Source organism: Homo sapiens, chromosome 17 (genome assembly GCF_000001405.40).
Source record: "Homo sapiens chromosome 17, GRCh38.p14 Primary Assembly".
Taxonomy (NCBI): Eukaryota; Metazoa; Chordata; class Mammalia; order Primates; family Hominidae; genus Homo; species Homo sapiens.
In genome coordinates this window covers 47508812-47524556 of record NC_000017.11, presented here as the reverse complement: position 1 = coordinate 47524556, position 15745 = coordinate 47508812, and the positions used below count along the sequence as shown (strand labels likewise).

General features: G+C 45.4%; 1 protein-coding gene across 2 annotated transcripts in view, besides 2 other annotated features; it reads right to left on the bottom strand.

The window, feature by feature from the left end:
- Positions 1-1624, bottom strand: part of NPEPPS (aminopeptidase puromycin sensitive) — a 100344-nt gene extending 98720 nt beyond the window's left edge. Inside the window, exon 1 of one of the 2 annotated variants that reach the window (NM_001330257.2) lies at positions 1494-1624. In NM_001330257.2, coding sequence (NP_001317186.1) covers positions 1494-1570 — 77 coding nt within the window. In that variant the 5' untranslated portion in view covers positions 1571-1624. The remainder of the gene's footprint in view (positions 1-1493) is intronic. The other variant, XM_017025373.1, reaches the window with a different exon arrangement.
- Positions 2479-2980: an enhancer, noted in NCBI's record as "H3K4me1 hESC enhancer chr17:45598943-45599444 (GRCh37/hg19 assembly coordinates)". NCBI's record gives its function as "activates a minimal SCP1, AML or CMV promoter by ChIP-STARR-seq in naive H9 embryonic stem cells {active_cell/tissue: H9 hESC(naive)}" and the evidence as "EXISTENCE:reporter gene assay evidence [ECO:0000049][PMID:30033119]".
- Positions 12649-12768: a silencer, noted in NCBI's record as "silent region_8627". NCBI's record gives its function as "represses an Ori minimal core promoter by ATAC-STARR-seq in GM12878 lymphoblastoid cells {active_cell/tissue: GM12878}" and the evidence as "EXISTENCE:reporter gene assay evidence [ECO:0000049][PMID:35858748]".

Here is a 15745-nt window from a genome sequence, read left to right as displayed (position 1 = left end):
CGCCACTGCACTCCAGCCTGCGCAACAGAGCAAGACTCCGTCTCAAAAAAAAAAAAATGTTTTTAATTAGCTGGGTGTGGTGGCCTATGCCTGTAGTCCTAGCTACTTGGGAGGCTAAAGTGGGAGGATTCCTTGAATCCAGGAGTTTGAGGCTGCAGTAAGCTATGACTGCATCACTGCAGTCCAGCCTGGGCAACAGAGTGAAATCCTGTCTCTGTTTGTTTTGGTTTGGTTTATTTTTTTTTTTGAGACAAAGTTTTGCTCTTGTTGCCCAGGCTGGAGTACAGTGGCACAATCTTGGCTCACTACAACCTCCGCCTCCCGGGGGTTCAAGCGATTTTCCTGCCTCAGCCTCCCAAGTAGCTGGGATTACAGGTGCCTGCCACCACGCCCAGCTAATTTTTTGTATTTTTAGTAGAGAGGGGGTTTCACCATGTTGGCCAGGCTGGTCTCAAACTCCTAACCTCGGGTGATCCACCCGCCTCAGCCTCCCAAAGTGCAGGGATTACAGGCATGAGCCACTGCGCTCGGCCGAAATCCTGTCTCTTAAAAAAAAAAAAGTTTAAGAAAGAAAAGAAAGGAAAAAAAACAATCAGTCATTCTAGCCAGAGCCACTATTGTTTTCAGTTTTCAAGTACTAGCCTGACAAATATGAGGACACAAAAAGAAATAGTTTCAATATCATCACTGACTTTATGACCTAAAACAAGTCCTAGCAATTCTCTGCCTCAGTTTCCCCACCTGTAAAGCAGATGTGGGCATAATGCACGCTTATCTCAAAGAAAAGTATGATTTCTCCAGTGGTTTGAGAATTTCTTAAAAAGCCTATTATTGGGCCAGGCATGGTGGTTCATGCTTGTAATCCCAGCACTTTGGGAGGCCGAGGCAGGCAGATCACTTGAGGTCAGGAGTTCAAGACTAGCCTGGCGAACATGGTGAAACCCCATTTCTACTAGAAATGCAAAAAAATTTGCCGGGTGTGGTGGCGGGTGCCTGTAATCACAGCTACTTGGGAGGCTGAGGCAGGATAATTGCTTCAACCCAGGAGGTGGAGTTTGCAGTGAGTCAAGATCACGCCATTGCACTCCAGCCTGGGTGACAAAACGAGACCCCGTCTCAAAAAAAAAACAAAAAAAAAGCCTATTATTTTCTTAATGTGAGAATGGTCTTTGTAGCAGGACTAGTAAAAAGTTGAAGTAAAATTATAGAGAGCAAATGTAAGTCATCGAAAGAAGTATTTCAGAGCAAAGATAATGTAAAGGAATTGGATTAGGGAGGCAAAATATTCAGGCAGGAAGGAGAGAAACCCCAGCTATGGAACACAGAAAGAGAAAGATGTGGAGCGTTTGAGAGAACCATTACAAAACCACCAAGTTAGATCAAAACAAAGCATTACAGTTACTGTTTAGCCTCTCTGACTTACAAATTATGGCCTTCAATGTCAATTTCAAGCATACAAATTATAACTCGAATTCCACTAATATGTGTCTTACCTGCGGAATATGATGAAGGGGTTCCAAAGGCCAGGAACACAAAAACTTGGAGAGCAATCCATGGAAAATGATGCCATGAGGTCCCAGCCTTGACTCTTCCGTAACTTAAAATGGCTGTTGAAATGACAGTTGGAAATGTGAGTAGATGGAATGCTGCCTACCCATCCTGTGTTCTTCATGAAAGGAAAGTAGATTAATTTCACATGCTTTAAAATGTTTGCTATACTGATGGATAACTTAATTTGTCATAATAATATATGAGCTATAGATTGGATAGATTGATGGATAGATACATAGTTTTATTTATTTGGGGATAGCAATATGACATTATGCACATAAAAATGTGGCCAAAGGAAGGTCCTATCTGGTCATAGTTTTATTTCTCTTTGTATCTTTCCATTAGGAAGTTGAAAAAGACATACATTTCCACCTTTCTCACTTCCTTTCTAGCCCTCCTCTTTTTTTTTTTTTTTCAGTACTTCTGCTTCCCTTTTCACAACTACTTCTGCAGGTCTGTTTACCAATCCCAAGGGAGTGACAACTACAAGAGCAAACCTAACCCCTTTGTTGATGATCTTCAAACTGAGATGACCTGTTTGGCTGTGACCTGTTTGGTTGTAAAGGGTTAGCCACCAGGGCTTTGCAGAATATAAGTTAGGGAGCCAACTTATATGATAGGGTGAAGCCAATACCCTCTGCTGCAAAGAGTGCATATGTCTATGTCTGATGCGTGGGCCTCTGGAATGCTACTATAACATTTCTCCTGAAATCCCAAGTCTTTTTTTTTTCTTTTTTTGAGACGGAGTCTCTCTCTGTCGCAGTGGTGCGATCTTGGCTCACTGCAACCTCCACCTCCCGGGTTCCAGCAATTCTCCTGCCACAGCCTCCCGAGTTGCTGGGACTACAGGAGCATGCCACCATGCCCGGCTTTTTTTTATTATTAGTAGAGACGGGGTTTCACCATGTTGTGCAGGCTGATCTCAAATTCCTGACTTCAGGTGATCCACCCGCCTCAGCCTCCCAAAGTGCTGAGATTACAAGTGTGAGCCACCACGCCCGGCGAAATCCCAAGTTTTTAAAGGTTACAGTGCTCTGGAGCTGGCATGCTGGAATTGAGTTTGCAATGATGTTTGCCTTGACGTCAAATCCAAAAAAATCAGTGCGAGCTCAGGTTGAACCAGACCAGTGGGGTAGCCAAGAGGATTAGAAGTCGCAGCTTGGCAAGTCAGGGGGCCTCAGTTTCTCCACCCTTGGCTCTATTTCTGTTTGCTTCTTAAATCCTTGACAAGAAGAATTGACATCAGAATAGTCCTCACCCAATGTGCTATCCAAGGCCTAGCAAAGAGAATAAGCTTAACCCAGGTTAAGGGTGGGGTGAAGAGAAGAGACCCAAGACATTAAGGCCTACTAATCTGGCAGAATCACATCTCATGGGGCGTGATTTTATGAGAGCAATTTGCCTTGGAGTCTTAGCCACATAAATAACTAAGGATAAGAATCTTCTGCTGCCAGCCTCCCTACAGTTTGAGAGAGCAATTTGCCTTGGAGTCTTAGCCACATAAATAACTAAGGATAAGAATCTTCTGCTGCCAGCCTCCCTACAGTTTGCATAGGAGTCAAGATTAATAAATACTTAAAAAGTGTAAGGGGAGCTAAAAATTGGCTTGTGACCTGCTTATTCATAGGACTGAACCAAAAGTCATAGTGTCCCCAGTAAACAAATAATGCTAGAGCTAAAGAGAAACCATAAGGTAAGCATCTAAGATCCTTTCATTTTCAGATATACATGCTTTAGAAAAATTGTCTTGGCATGGAGACTAGCCTTTGGGAACTAGTGCCTTTAAAAAAAATCTGATGGTAACATCTCTATTTTGGTAAATTGATTCAAGAAAAAGGCAAAGAGACAAAAAGCAATTCAAACTGCTCATACTCTTTAGCCCTGGGAAGCCTGCACCGGCAGGTTTCTGGATATGGTCTATTTTAGTTCAAAGTGCAATCACACTGTATAAAATATAAAGTCACTACGAATGAGGCATAGCACAAATACCCTAGGGACCTGACATCAGGAATTAGGGCAGGTCACAAAAGAAAAAGACAAAACTCAGAGCTTCACTCTTGTTGCCCAGGCTGGAGTGCAATGGTGCAATCTCGGCTCACTGCAAACTCTGCCTCCTGGGTTCAAGCGATTCTCCTGCCTCAGCCTCCCAAGTAGCTGAGATTACAGGCATGCGCCACCACACCTGGCTAATTTTGTATTTTTAGTAGAGACGAGGTTTCTCCATGTTGGTCAGACTGGTCTCGAACTCCCATCCTCAGGTGATCCACACCCCCTCGGCCTCCCAAAGTGCTGAGATTATAGGCGTGAGCCGCTGTGCCTGGCCAAGACAAAATTCTTTAGGCAAAAAGGCACAATTTAAACCATTCGAGAGAGATTTATATTCCTGTTGCCCCAAACCTACATTAGCTGTTAAGTGGAGGCCACAGTTTTAGCAACTCTACATCAGGAAACCCTGAACTCTTGTTGTGCCCTATCCCAATGTGTCTCAGTGCCAAGAGATGCCAAACGATGTCATCTTTGTTTAGCTCTATGTACTTTTGCTAAAGTGATTCATTACTGTCTTATCTCAGTGTAAGAGGATATCAGTAGATGCAGGAGAGGGTGACAGAATCAAAGGAGTGGAGGAGGTGGAAGAAGAGAAAAAGTCGTCACTATTTTACAGAAAAAGTGCCATTATTGGTGTCTGACAAGGTAAATCGTTTTCTTTAGTTTATAAGCCCTGCCTCCTTTTATTTTTTCCAGAAATTAGAACAATAGTTCTATCCAGGTTTGGTTCAGACTTGAATTGTACAAGTCGCAGTTCTTAGAGCTGATACCAGGGTCCCATTCTGTCACCCAGGCTGGAGTGTGGTGATATGATCTCAGCTCACTGCAACATCTGCCTCCCAGGCTCAATGATCCTTTACCTCAGCTTCCCAGGTAGCTGGGACTACAGGCATGCACCACTAGGTCTGTCTAGTTTGTGTGGAGTTTTTTGGTAGAGATGGGATTTCACCATGTTGCCCAGGCTGGTCTCAAACTCCTGGTTCAAGCGATCCTCCCGCCTCCCCAAAGTACTGGGATTATAGATGTGAGCCACTGTGTCTGCCCTAAAATGGTAAAATCTTTAAGACCCTTGTTTTCCCTAATTTTTCCTCCCCTTCATGGTAAAGAAGTCCAGTATGCTATGTTACTAACGCTAGGATTCATAACTTACATTTTAAGGATAGCCAAAGTAAGTTGAAAATTACTTCCTATTGTTTTGTTCTTTATAATTGTTTTAGGGGGCCTCAAGTACAAGGGGTCAAAAACTGATGTAGGACAAAGATAGATGCAGTCATTGCCCAGAGTTAACTGCAAAGCAATGACTAAAAGCCATGATGAGAAGAATTTCTGACTCCCAGGCCTCTCTTCTTTCTGAATATCCTAGCAGTCCTAGATAACTCTCAGAGGACAAGTGTTGAAATGTGTTGACAAGTGTTGACAAGGAGGACCACACATACCCTAGATTTTCCAGGACAGTCCTGATGGCAAATATTCTCCACTGTCATCAGAAGCCATGTAAATAAATGTCCTAGAAATTCCAATATTCTAGCATTTTGGGTTAAAGAAAATGGAAGAAGAACTGCATGCCTGGGAGTCAAGGCAAAAAGGGCACATGATAGTTGGTGTCAAGGCCAGGTAACAGGAAGGAGACAGAAAGATCTGATTGCTAGAATAACCAGGCAGCTCAAATGAGGGTAACAGAATCTTGTGCAGCACAGCATCATGATGCTAAAAAAAAATGCTCTTTCCATGAGTGCTTAAAGCAGACTGAGAGAAAAGTTGCTGTTTTCAACCCACCTCTGGAGTACTAGTACTCCAGCCTCCATTAGTCAGGCTTCCACCCTGGAGATCTGACATAGTATGACAAGTCCTACAAAGCCAAACAATGAGGTCATCCTTTGTAGGTTACTTCATTGTGGGTGATAACTTAATCAGGAAAAAATATGTTCATTCAGCATTTTTCAAGTCCTCAAACTGCTTTATGAAATCAAGTCTGTTCATTCCTCTCTAGGAAGAGCAAACCTAGCAAGAGAAACAAGTTCTCTAGGTTTATAAATCTATATGGTTAATCCTAGGCTCTTAGCCCCTACTTAAACAAATCCTAACCCTAGAGATCTAAATGAAATATTCTCTTTACTTAGTACAATTAATCCATTACCACTCTGAATAATTGGAAATATATTTAAATGCTTTCATAGTGTGAGAGACAGAATGGAAATCCATGGAGCAGAAGAAAGGCTCAGTTCTTCTCCTTTTACCATGATCATGATAACTTTATAATTCCATGTAGTAAACCCTAAGGGCACGTTCTCATCAGCCAGGTTAGAGCCCCTTGTTCTACAGAGTAATGAAAGAGTTAGACCAAGTATCTTTCCCCAGTAATAGGGTGGCCAGATAAAAAAACAGGACACCTAGTTAAATTAGAATTGCAGATAAAATGAATAGTTTTTTAGTGTAAATAGTCTCAACTATTTCATGGGACATGCTTAGACACATGCTTAGACTAAAAATATGCAATAGTTTGCCGGGCGCAGTGGCTCATGCCTGTAATCCCAGCACTCTGGGAGGCCGAGGCGGGCGGATCACGAGGTCAAGGAGATGGAGGCCATCCTGGCTAACACGGTGAAACCCCGTCTCTACTAAAAATACAAAACATTAGCCGGGCGTGGTGGCGGGCGCCTGTAGTCCCAGCTACTCGGGAGGCTGAGGCAGGAGAATGGCGTGAACCCGGGAGGCAGAGCTTGCAGTGAGCCGAGGTTGCGCCACTGCACTCCAGCCTGGGCAACAGAGTGAGACTCTGTCTCAGAAAAAAAAAAAAGCAATAGTTACAAGTTAGGTTACTAAATACTAAAAACTATTCATTGTTTATCTGAAATTCAATTATTATTATTATTTTTTGAGACAGAGTTTCACTCTTGTTGCCCAGGCTGGAGTGCAATGGTGCGATCTCAGCTCACCGCAACCTCCGCCTCCGCCTCCCGGGTTCAAGTGATTCTTCTGCCTCAGCCTCCCGAGTAGCTGGGATTACAGGCATGCGCCATCACGCCTGGCTAATTTTGTATTTTTAGTAGAGACAGGGCTTCTCCATGTTGGTCAAGCTGGTCTCAAACTCCCGACCTCCAGTGATCCACCCGCCTCGGCCTCCTAAAGTGCTGGGTTGTTTTTTTGTTTTGTTTTGTTTTTTGTATTTTTTAGTGGAGACGGGGTTTCACCATGTTAGCCAGGATGGTCTCGATCTCCTGACCTTGTGATCCGCCCACCTCGGCTTCCCAAAGTGCTGAGATTACAAGTTTTCTTTTCTTTTTTTTTTTTTTTGAGATAAGGCCTCACTCTGTGGTCCAGACTGGAGTGCAGTGGCATGATTACAGCTCACTGAAGCCTTGATCTCCTGGACTCAGGTGATCCTTCCACCTCAGCCTCCCAAATAGCTGGTACTACAGGGATGCACCACAACATTTGGCTAATTTTTTTTTTTTTTTTTTTTTTTTTTGAGACAGAGTCTGGCTCAGCTGCCCAGGCTGGAGTGCAATGGCGCAATCTCGGCTCACTGCAACCACCCTCTCCCGGATTCAAGCGATTCTCCCGTCTCAGCCTCCCGAGTAGCTGGGATTAGAGGCACCCATCATCATGCCCAGCTAATTTTTGTATTTTAGTAGAGACAGGGTTTCACCATGTTGGCCAGCCTGGTCTTGAACTCCTGACCTCAGGTGATCCACCTGCCTCAGCCTTCCAAAATGCTGGGATTACAGCTGTGAGTCACCACGCCCAGCCTTTCGGCTAATTTTTGTATCTTCTCTTTTTTAGAGAAGGGACTTTGCCATGTTGGCCCGACTCGTCTCAAACTCTGGGCTCAAATGATCTGCCTACCTCGGCCTCTCAAAGTGCTGGAATTACAAGTGTAAGCCACTGAGCCTGGCCCGAAATTCAAATGCAATTGGGCATGCTGTATTTTTATTTGCTAAATATAGTAACCCTACCAGTACTATGCTTTCAGATTTTTTTTTTTTTTTTGAGATGGAGTTTTGCTCTTGTTTCCCAGGCTGGATTGCAACGGCATGATCTCGGCTCACTGCAACCTCCACCTCCTGGGTTCAAGTGACTCTCCTGCCTCAGCCTCCTGAGTAGCTGAGAGTACAGGCGCCCGCCACCAAGCCCAGCTATTTTTTTTTTTTTTTTTTTTTTTGAGACAGAGTCTCACTCTTGTCGCCCAGGCTGGAGTGCAGTGGTGCGATCTCGGCTCACTGCAACCTCCACCTCCCAGGTTCACGCCATTCTCCTGCCTCAGCCTCCTGAGTAGCTGGAATTACAGGCACGTGCCACCATACCTGGCTAGTTTTTGTTTTTTGTTTTTTTTGGGGGGGAGGGGGATGGAGTCTCGCTCTGTCGCCCAGGCTGGAGTGGAGTGGCGCAATCTTGGCTCACCGCAAGCTCCGCCTCCTGGGTTCCCGCCATTCTCCCGCCATTCTCCCGCCTCAGCCTCCCGAGTAGTTGGGACTGCAGGTACCGGCCACCACTTGCGGCTAATTTTGTGGGGTTTTTTTCTTTTTTGTATTTTTAGTAGAGATGCGGTTTCACTACGTTAGCCAGGATGGTCTCGATCTGCTGACCTCGTGATCTGCCCAGGTCGGCCTCCCAAAGTGCTGGGATTACAGGCGTAAGCCACCGCACCAGGCCCATATCTGGCTAGTTTTTGTATTTTTAGTAGAGATGGGGGTGTCACCATGTTGTCTAGGCTGGTCTCGAACTCCTAACCTCAGGTGATCCACCCGCCTTAGCCTCCCAAAGTGCTGGGATTACAGGCATGAGCCGTCACACCCGGGGTAAATAGGGATTTTAAAATAGCTTTGTGTGCTGGCAAATATCTTTTTCTGGAGAGTGGAATGACATTCTGTCATGTTTAATTTTTTAGGCTATGAGACCGCTAAAAGGGATATCTAACTCTCTTCTCCTTTTCTTATTCCCTAGGGTATTCACTTTAGTGGAAAACAGCATAGGTTAATATCAACTGGCTCCATAAAAATCAACTTGTCCCTTTAAATATATCAAATACTTTAAATAGTTTTTCCAATATTAAATATCCATGTTCAGAATATGGTGGTGATTATGCTGTATTTAATAAGAGAAATTACTTTGAGAGTGATGTTGGCAAGATTATGTCAAGTAGCAGCCAAGGCCTGATATGCCACACTGTCAAACCAATGATTTTTTTTCTTTCTTTCTTTTGCCACTGTTACTATATTAATATACTTTTAGTATTTCCACTCACCTGAAAATGATGCAGGCAGATATTATAAACCTGATTCTGCCACTCCTGCAAATATCAAAGCTTAAACATTTTAATGGGGAGGAAAAAAAAAAACACTCTGAAGAATAAATATTCATAGGATTTTAATCCAGAAGTATCCCAACAGGCGCAGTGGCTCATGCCTGTAATCCCAGCACTTTGGGAGGCCGAGGCAGGCAGATCGCCTGAGGTCAGGAGTTTGAGACCAGCCTGGCCAACATGGTGAAACCCCCGCCTCTACTAAAAATATGAAAATTAGCTAGGCATTGGCCGGACACGGTGGCTCATGCCTGTAATCCCAGCACTTTGGGAGGCCGAGGCGGGCACATCACGAGGTCAGGAGATGGAGACCATCCTGGCTAACACAGTGAAACCCCGCCTCTACTAAAAATACAAAAATTAGCCTGGCGTGGTGGCAGGCACCTGTAATCCCAGCTACTTGGGAGGCTGAGGCAAGAGAATGACAAACCTGGAAGGTGGAGTTTGCAGTGAGCTGAGATCGTGCCACTGCACTCCAGCCTGGGCGACAGAGCAAGACACCGTCTCAAAAAAAAAAAAAAAAAAATTAGCCAGACGTGGTCGCAGGTGCCTATAATCTCAGCTACTGGGGAGGCTGAGGCAGGAGAATCTCTTGAACCCAGGAGGTAGAGGTTGCAGTGAGCCAAGATTGCGCCACAGCACTCTATCCTGGGTGACAGAGTGAAACTCCGTCTCAAAAAAAAAAAAAAAAAAAGTATCCCAGCCAGGTGCAGTGGCTCATGCTTGTAATCCCAGCACTTTGGGAGGCCAAGGCGGGTGGATCACGAGGTCAGGAGTTCAAGACCAGCCTGACCAACATGGTGAAACCCTGTCTCTACTAAAAATACAAAAATTAGCCGGGCATGGTGGCGCATACCTATAATCCCAGCTACTCAGGAGGCTGAGGCTGAGGCAGGAGAATGGCTTGAAACTGCAAGGCAGAGGTTGCAGTGAGCCGAGATTGCACTGAGCCGAGATTGCACCATTGCACTGCACTCCAGCCTGAGCGACAGAGTGAGACTCTGTCTCGAAAAAAAGGTATCCCAACAGAGTTTCACATTTTACCATAACCCACAGGAGAGAAATCTTTTCCATAATCATTAATAATTTAGTTCTTTAGAAAAATCATTTCCTTTTCATGTGATTTTTCTTGTTTTAGACGTGGTCTCATGATGTTGGCCAGGCTGGCCTCAAACTCCTGGGCTCAAGTGATCCTCCTGCCTCAGCCTCCTGAGTAGTTGGGACTACAGGGATGTGCCATGACTTGTTTATCAAGCAGTTATTGAGTACCTAGTGTGTGCCACTCAGTGGCTTGTAAGTGGCAGAGCCAGTGGCAGAAGCCAGGTTACCTTGACTCAGAACAGGCACTCTTTCCTAATACTTGGTCTTCCCATGATCTCTTTCTGGAACCCCCAGGGCTGATGAAATATAACCCAAAGAATAAACTGGAACAAGACAAAGAGAAATAAAGCTTGAGTTTCCATTTAGCTCTTCCCTGACAGGTGGTACATAACTTAGCCCATTCAAGAGCAGATGAGTTTCCATCACCTGTTTTGTTTAAATATTAAGAACTATTAAAAGACATTATTTTCCCTTGATGGTTATCAGAATCTTCTGGCTTTCCAACAGTGCCACCCAAATCCTTTATCTGTCTAGAACCCCTTGCTGTTTCAGTTTATTCATCTGTAAAATTAGGTAATGGATTAGATCATCTTCAAAGTTCTTTCTAGCTCTTAAATTATTTTATTCTACTAATTTTCTGTGGAAAAAAATTATTATGCTCAGATCCATCAGTTTTGGCTAATGAGGGCTGCACTCCACAGTTTGAAAAGTTTAGGAAATTCCCGGCCTGGTGTGGTGCCTCATGCTTGTAATCCCCGTACTTCCAGAGGGCAAGGCAGGCAGATTACTTTTGCCCCCAAGTTTGAGACCAGCCTGGGCAACGTGGCAAGACCCTGTTTCTAATAAAAAGGTAAAAATGGCATATCATCCATGGCCTTTTTACTTTTCCAACACAGCCTGGGAAATTATTAATAACAATAAAATCTCTACAGAGTACTCTTTCCTAATTACTTTGAATATTTTCCTTTCTCACAATGTCATTGAGACACAAGAAGGTATTATTCATCCACCAAAAATGAGAAACCGGACATACAGATAGGTCATGCACTTTTTTTTTTTAAATGGAGTGTTGCTCTGTCACCTAGGCTGCAGTACAATGGCACGGATGTCCACTCACTGCAACCTCTGCCTCCTGGGTTCAAGCGATTCTCCTGCCTCAGTCTCCTGAGTAGCTGGGACTACAGGCGCATGCCACCACACCGGCTAATTTTTTGTGTTTTTAGTAGAGACGGGGTTTCACAAATTGGCCAGGCTGGTCTCAAACTCCTGACCTCGTGATCCGCCCACCTCGGCCTCCCAAAGTGCTGGGATTACAGGTGTAAGCCGCCACGCCCCGCCTAGGTCGTGCACTTCTAAAACTCACAGTAAGTGGGAGTAGATCTAAAATGAGAAAGTGGATCTCTCTGCTGACTGGGTCTCTTGTCCAGGCTTTTTATCCACAATAAGCTTTCTGGTTAATGTAGAGAATGTGGAATGCTCATTAATTGCTCTTGGAAAATGAACCTGTCTCTTCCTCCCTTCCTACTTCAAAAAAACACACACACAAAAACACAGAAAAACAATAATACCCTCACTTTACTAAATGAGCAAGAGGAAAAAAAATGAATCTGGCCAGGTGCAGTGGCTCATGCCTGTAATCCCAGTACTTTGGAGGCTGAGGCAGGCGGATCACTTGAGGTCAGGGGTTCAAGACAAGCCTGGCCAACATGGTGAAACCCTGTCTCTACTAAAAATGCAAAAATTAGCTGGGCGTGGTGGCACACACCTGTAATCCCAGCTATTCAGGAGGCTGAGGCAGGAGAATCACTTGAACTTAGGAGGCGGAGGTTGCAGTGAGCCGAGATTGCACCACTGCACTCCAGCCTGGGTAACAGAGTGAGACCCTGTTTCAAAAAAAAAAAAAAGGAAAATCCACAGTAGGCGCCGTCTGGAATGGCTCAGGTGATAGCCAGTCACCTGGAGCAGAGAAAAAGCTGTGGTCACTAGTAATTTCAGTATTTCAGTGATGTTTCCCACCACCAGCTGTCATCACAATTTCCAGAAAAGCTGCCAAGAAAAAGCAGGAATTCGCATTTCACACAACCCTAAACACACACACACACACACACACACACACACACACACACACACACACACACACACACACACAATGGATCTTCCTGACTGCTCTTTGCCCTCATATCTTCCTTCCCTCAAGCATTCCAGATAAACAGGTAAGGTACTTGACTCACCTGCAGCTGAATAACTCAGTACTCTTGAAGGCGCCTCCCTTCTGCCAGCAATCCTTACTCAGTTATTCTTTCCTTCCCTAATCTGGATTGTTTCCTTGAAACCAAAAACCCCAGTAATAGGCGCCTTATCCCTACTTCCCCTTTTTCCTTTCTCCTCTTGCCATCCCTCATTCCAAACAATACACTCAGGTCTGTAGCAATCCAGGCTCTTATCACACTTAGGAGGTAACTGGCTATTGAAGTGCTTATCTTTATTTTTACAATATGTGATATGTTTATGTTCTATTCCAATCCAGCACAGTGTCTGCCCCATTGTTGGGACTCAACAAATGTTTGTTGAATAGAACTTGCCTAAATTGGCCTCAGGCACCTCCTAAATTTCACAGTATGCTGAGTTCCAGGGAAAACTAGACCGACTAAGCCAACTGCTCCCTTCCTGTCTGGGAGGACCCACCCACAGAGCAGAAAGGGGAAGCTGCACCTCTGCAGACAGAGAGGGTTTGACTGATGTCCCTCCTCCGCCTGTGATCCCACCCCATTCTCCTTCCTCTGTCACAGGCTAAGGCAGTCCTGGAACGCCTCCCCCCACCCCAACCCCCCAGACTGATCCAGGCCATTTTATGTGGCAGAGCTGCTAATAGAACAGGCTGTGTATTAGATAGGGTTCAGGGTAGAGATCAGAGCCTGAATTTTATTGTAGGGATCACTAAGAAAGTTAGATTAGTTTGTGTTGTTTTTTGCTTTTTTTTTTTTTTTTTTTTGAGGCGGAATCTCGCTCTGTCCCCAGGCTGGAGTGCAGTGGCACGATCTCGGCTCACTGCAACCTCCACCTCCCAGGTTCAAGTGATTCTCCTGCCTCAGCCTCCCGAGTAGCTGGGACTACAGGTGTGTGCCACCACACCTGGCTAATTTTTGTATTTTTAGTAGAGGCAGGGTTTCACCATGTTGACCAGGCTGGTCTTGAACTCCTGACCTCAGGTGATCCTCCCGCCTCAGCCTCCCAAAGTGTTGGGATAACAGGCATGAGCTACTGTGCCTGGCGTTAGATTAGAATTTGATATGAACCTAAGTAGACTAGTCTGAGATGTGTCTGTAGGGATTGAGAGTGTGAAGCTCTAGAGACCTAATGTCTAGGTTCAAATAGTGTCTGTGCAACTTTTTAACCATTTGTTACACATTTAACCATAAGTTACACAAGTTACTTAACTGCCCTATACCTCAGTTTCTTCACTCATGAAATAGGGATAATAGGCCGGACGTGGTGGCTCACACCTGTAATCCCAACACTTTGGGAGGCCAAGGTGGGTGGATCACCTGAGGTCAGGAGTTCAAGACCAGCCCAGCCAACAGGGTGAAACCCCGTCTCTACTAAAAATACAAAAATTATCTGGGCATGGTCGGGGTGTGGGGGCGCCTGTAATCGCAGCTACTTGAGAGGCTGAGGCAGGAGAATAGCATGATCCTGGGAGGCGGAGGTTGCAGTGAGCCAAGATCGCGCCATTACACTCCAGCCTGGGCAACAAGAGCGAAACTCCATCTCAAAAAAAAGAAAAAGAAATAGGGATAATAACAGTACCCGCATCACAAGATTGTCCAAAGGATTAAATGAGTTAAAACATGTTAGTGCTAGGGCTGGGTATTGTGGCTCACGCTTACAATCCCAGCGATTTGAGAGGCTGAGGCAGGAGGTTTCCTTGAGGCCAGGAGTTCCAGACCAGCCTGGGCAACATGGTGAGACCCTGTATCCACAAAAAATTTTGACAAAATTAACTGGTCATGGTGGCATGGGTCTGTAGTCCCAGCTACTCAGGGGGTTGAAGTGGGAGGATTCCCTGGGCCCAGGTGGTCAAGGCTGCAGTGAGCCATGATCGCACCACTGCACGTCAGCCTGGATGACAAAGTAAGACTTTGTTGGCTGGGCGCGGTGGCTCACACCTGTAATGCCAGTACTTTGGGAGGCCAAGGAGGGCGGATCACGAGGTCAGGAGATCGAGACCATCCTGGCTAACACGGTGGAACCCCATCTCTACTAAAAATACAAAAAATTAGCCAGGCGTGGTGGCAGGAGCCTGTAGTCCCAGCTTCTGAAGAGGCTGAGGCTGGAGAATGGCGTGAACCTGGGAGGCGGAGCTTGCAGTGAGCTGGGACGGCGCCACTGCACTCCAGCCTGGGCGACAGAGCGAGACTCCGTCTCAACAACAACAACAACAACAACAACAACAACAACAACAACAAACAAACAAAAGGCTTTGTCTCAAAAATAAAATAAAATACACTAAAAATAATTTAATTTAAAAATAAGGATAAAACCATGTTAGTGCTCAATATTATTACCGAGGAGAATGGCTCTTGAATAGCAGCAAGTTTACTATGTTGAGGTTTGTATTTATTTTCTTTTATTTTTTTTTTGAGACAGAGTCTCGCTCTGTCGCCCAGGCTGGAGTGCAGTGGTGGGGTCTCGGCTCACTGCAAACTCCGCCTCCCAGATTCAACTGATTCTCCTGCCTCAGCCTCCAAGTAGCTGGGATTACAGGCACACACCACCACACCCAGCTAATTTTTTTGTATTTTTAGTAGAGATGGGGTTTCACCATGTTGACCAGGATGGTCTCTATCTCTTAACCTTGTGATCCACCCACCTCAGTGTCCCAAAGTGCTGAAATTACAGACATGAGCCACCGTGCCTGGCTCTTTTATTTTATTATTATTATTATTATTATTATTATTATTATTATTTTGAGACAGAGTCTTGCTCTGTTGCCAGGCTGGAGCACAGTGGCACGATCTCGGCTCACTGCAACCTCTGCCTCCTGGGTTCAAGCAATTCTCCCGCCTCAGCCTCCCAAGTAGCTGGGATTACAGGCTCCTCCCCCTACCATGCCCAGCTAATTTTTTATTTTTAGTAGAGATGGGGTTTCACCACGTTGGCCGGGCTGGTCTCGAACTCCTGACCTAAGGTGATCCACCCACCTTGGCCTCCCAAAGTGCTGGGATTACAGGCGTGAGTCACTGCGCCCAGCCCCTTATTTTATTTTTTGAGATGGAGTCTTGCTCTATCACCCAGGCTGGAGAGCAGTAGCGTGATCTTGGCTCACTGCAACCTCTGCCCCTCGGGTTCAAGCAATTCTCCTGCCTCTGCCTCCTGAGTAGCTAGGATTACAGGCACACACCACCATGCCCAGCTACTTTTTTTGTATTTTTAGTAGAGATGGGGTTTCACCATGTTGGCCAGGATGGTCTCTACCTATTGACCTTGGGATCAGCCCACCTTGGTGTCCCAAAGTGCTGAAATTACAGACGTGAGCCACCGTGCCCAGCTCTTTTTTTTTTTTTTTTTTTTCCGAGATGGACTGTTGCTCTGTCGCCCAGGCTGAAGTGCAGTGGTGTGATCTTGGCTCACTGCAACCTCACCTCTGGGGTTGAAGCGATTCTCCTGCCTCAGCCTTCCCGAGTAGCTGGGATTACAGGCACCTGCCACCATGCCTAGCTAATTTTTGTATTTTTTTCAGTGGAG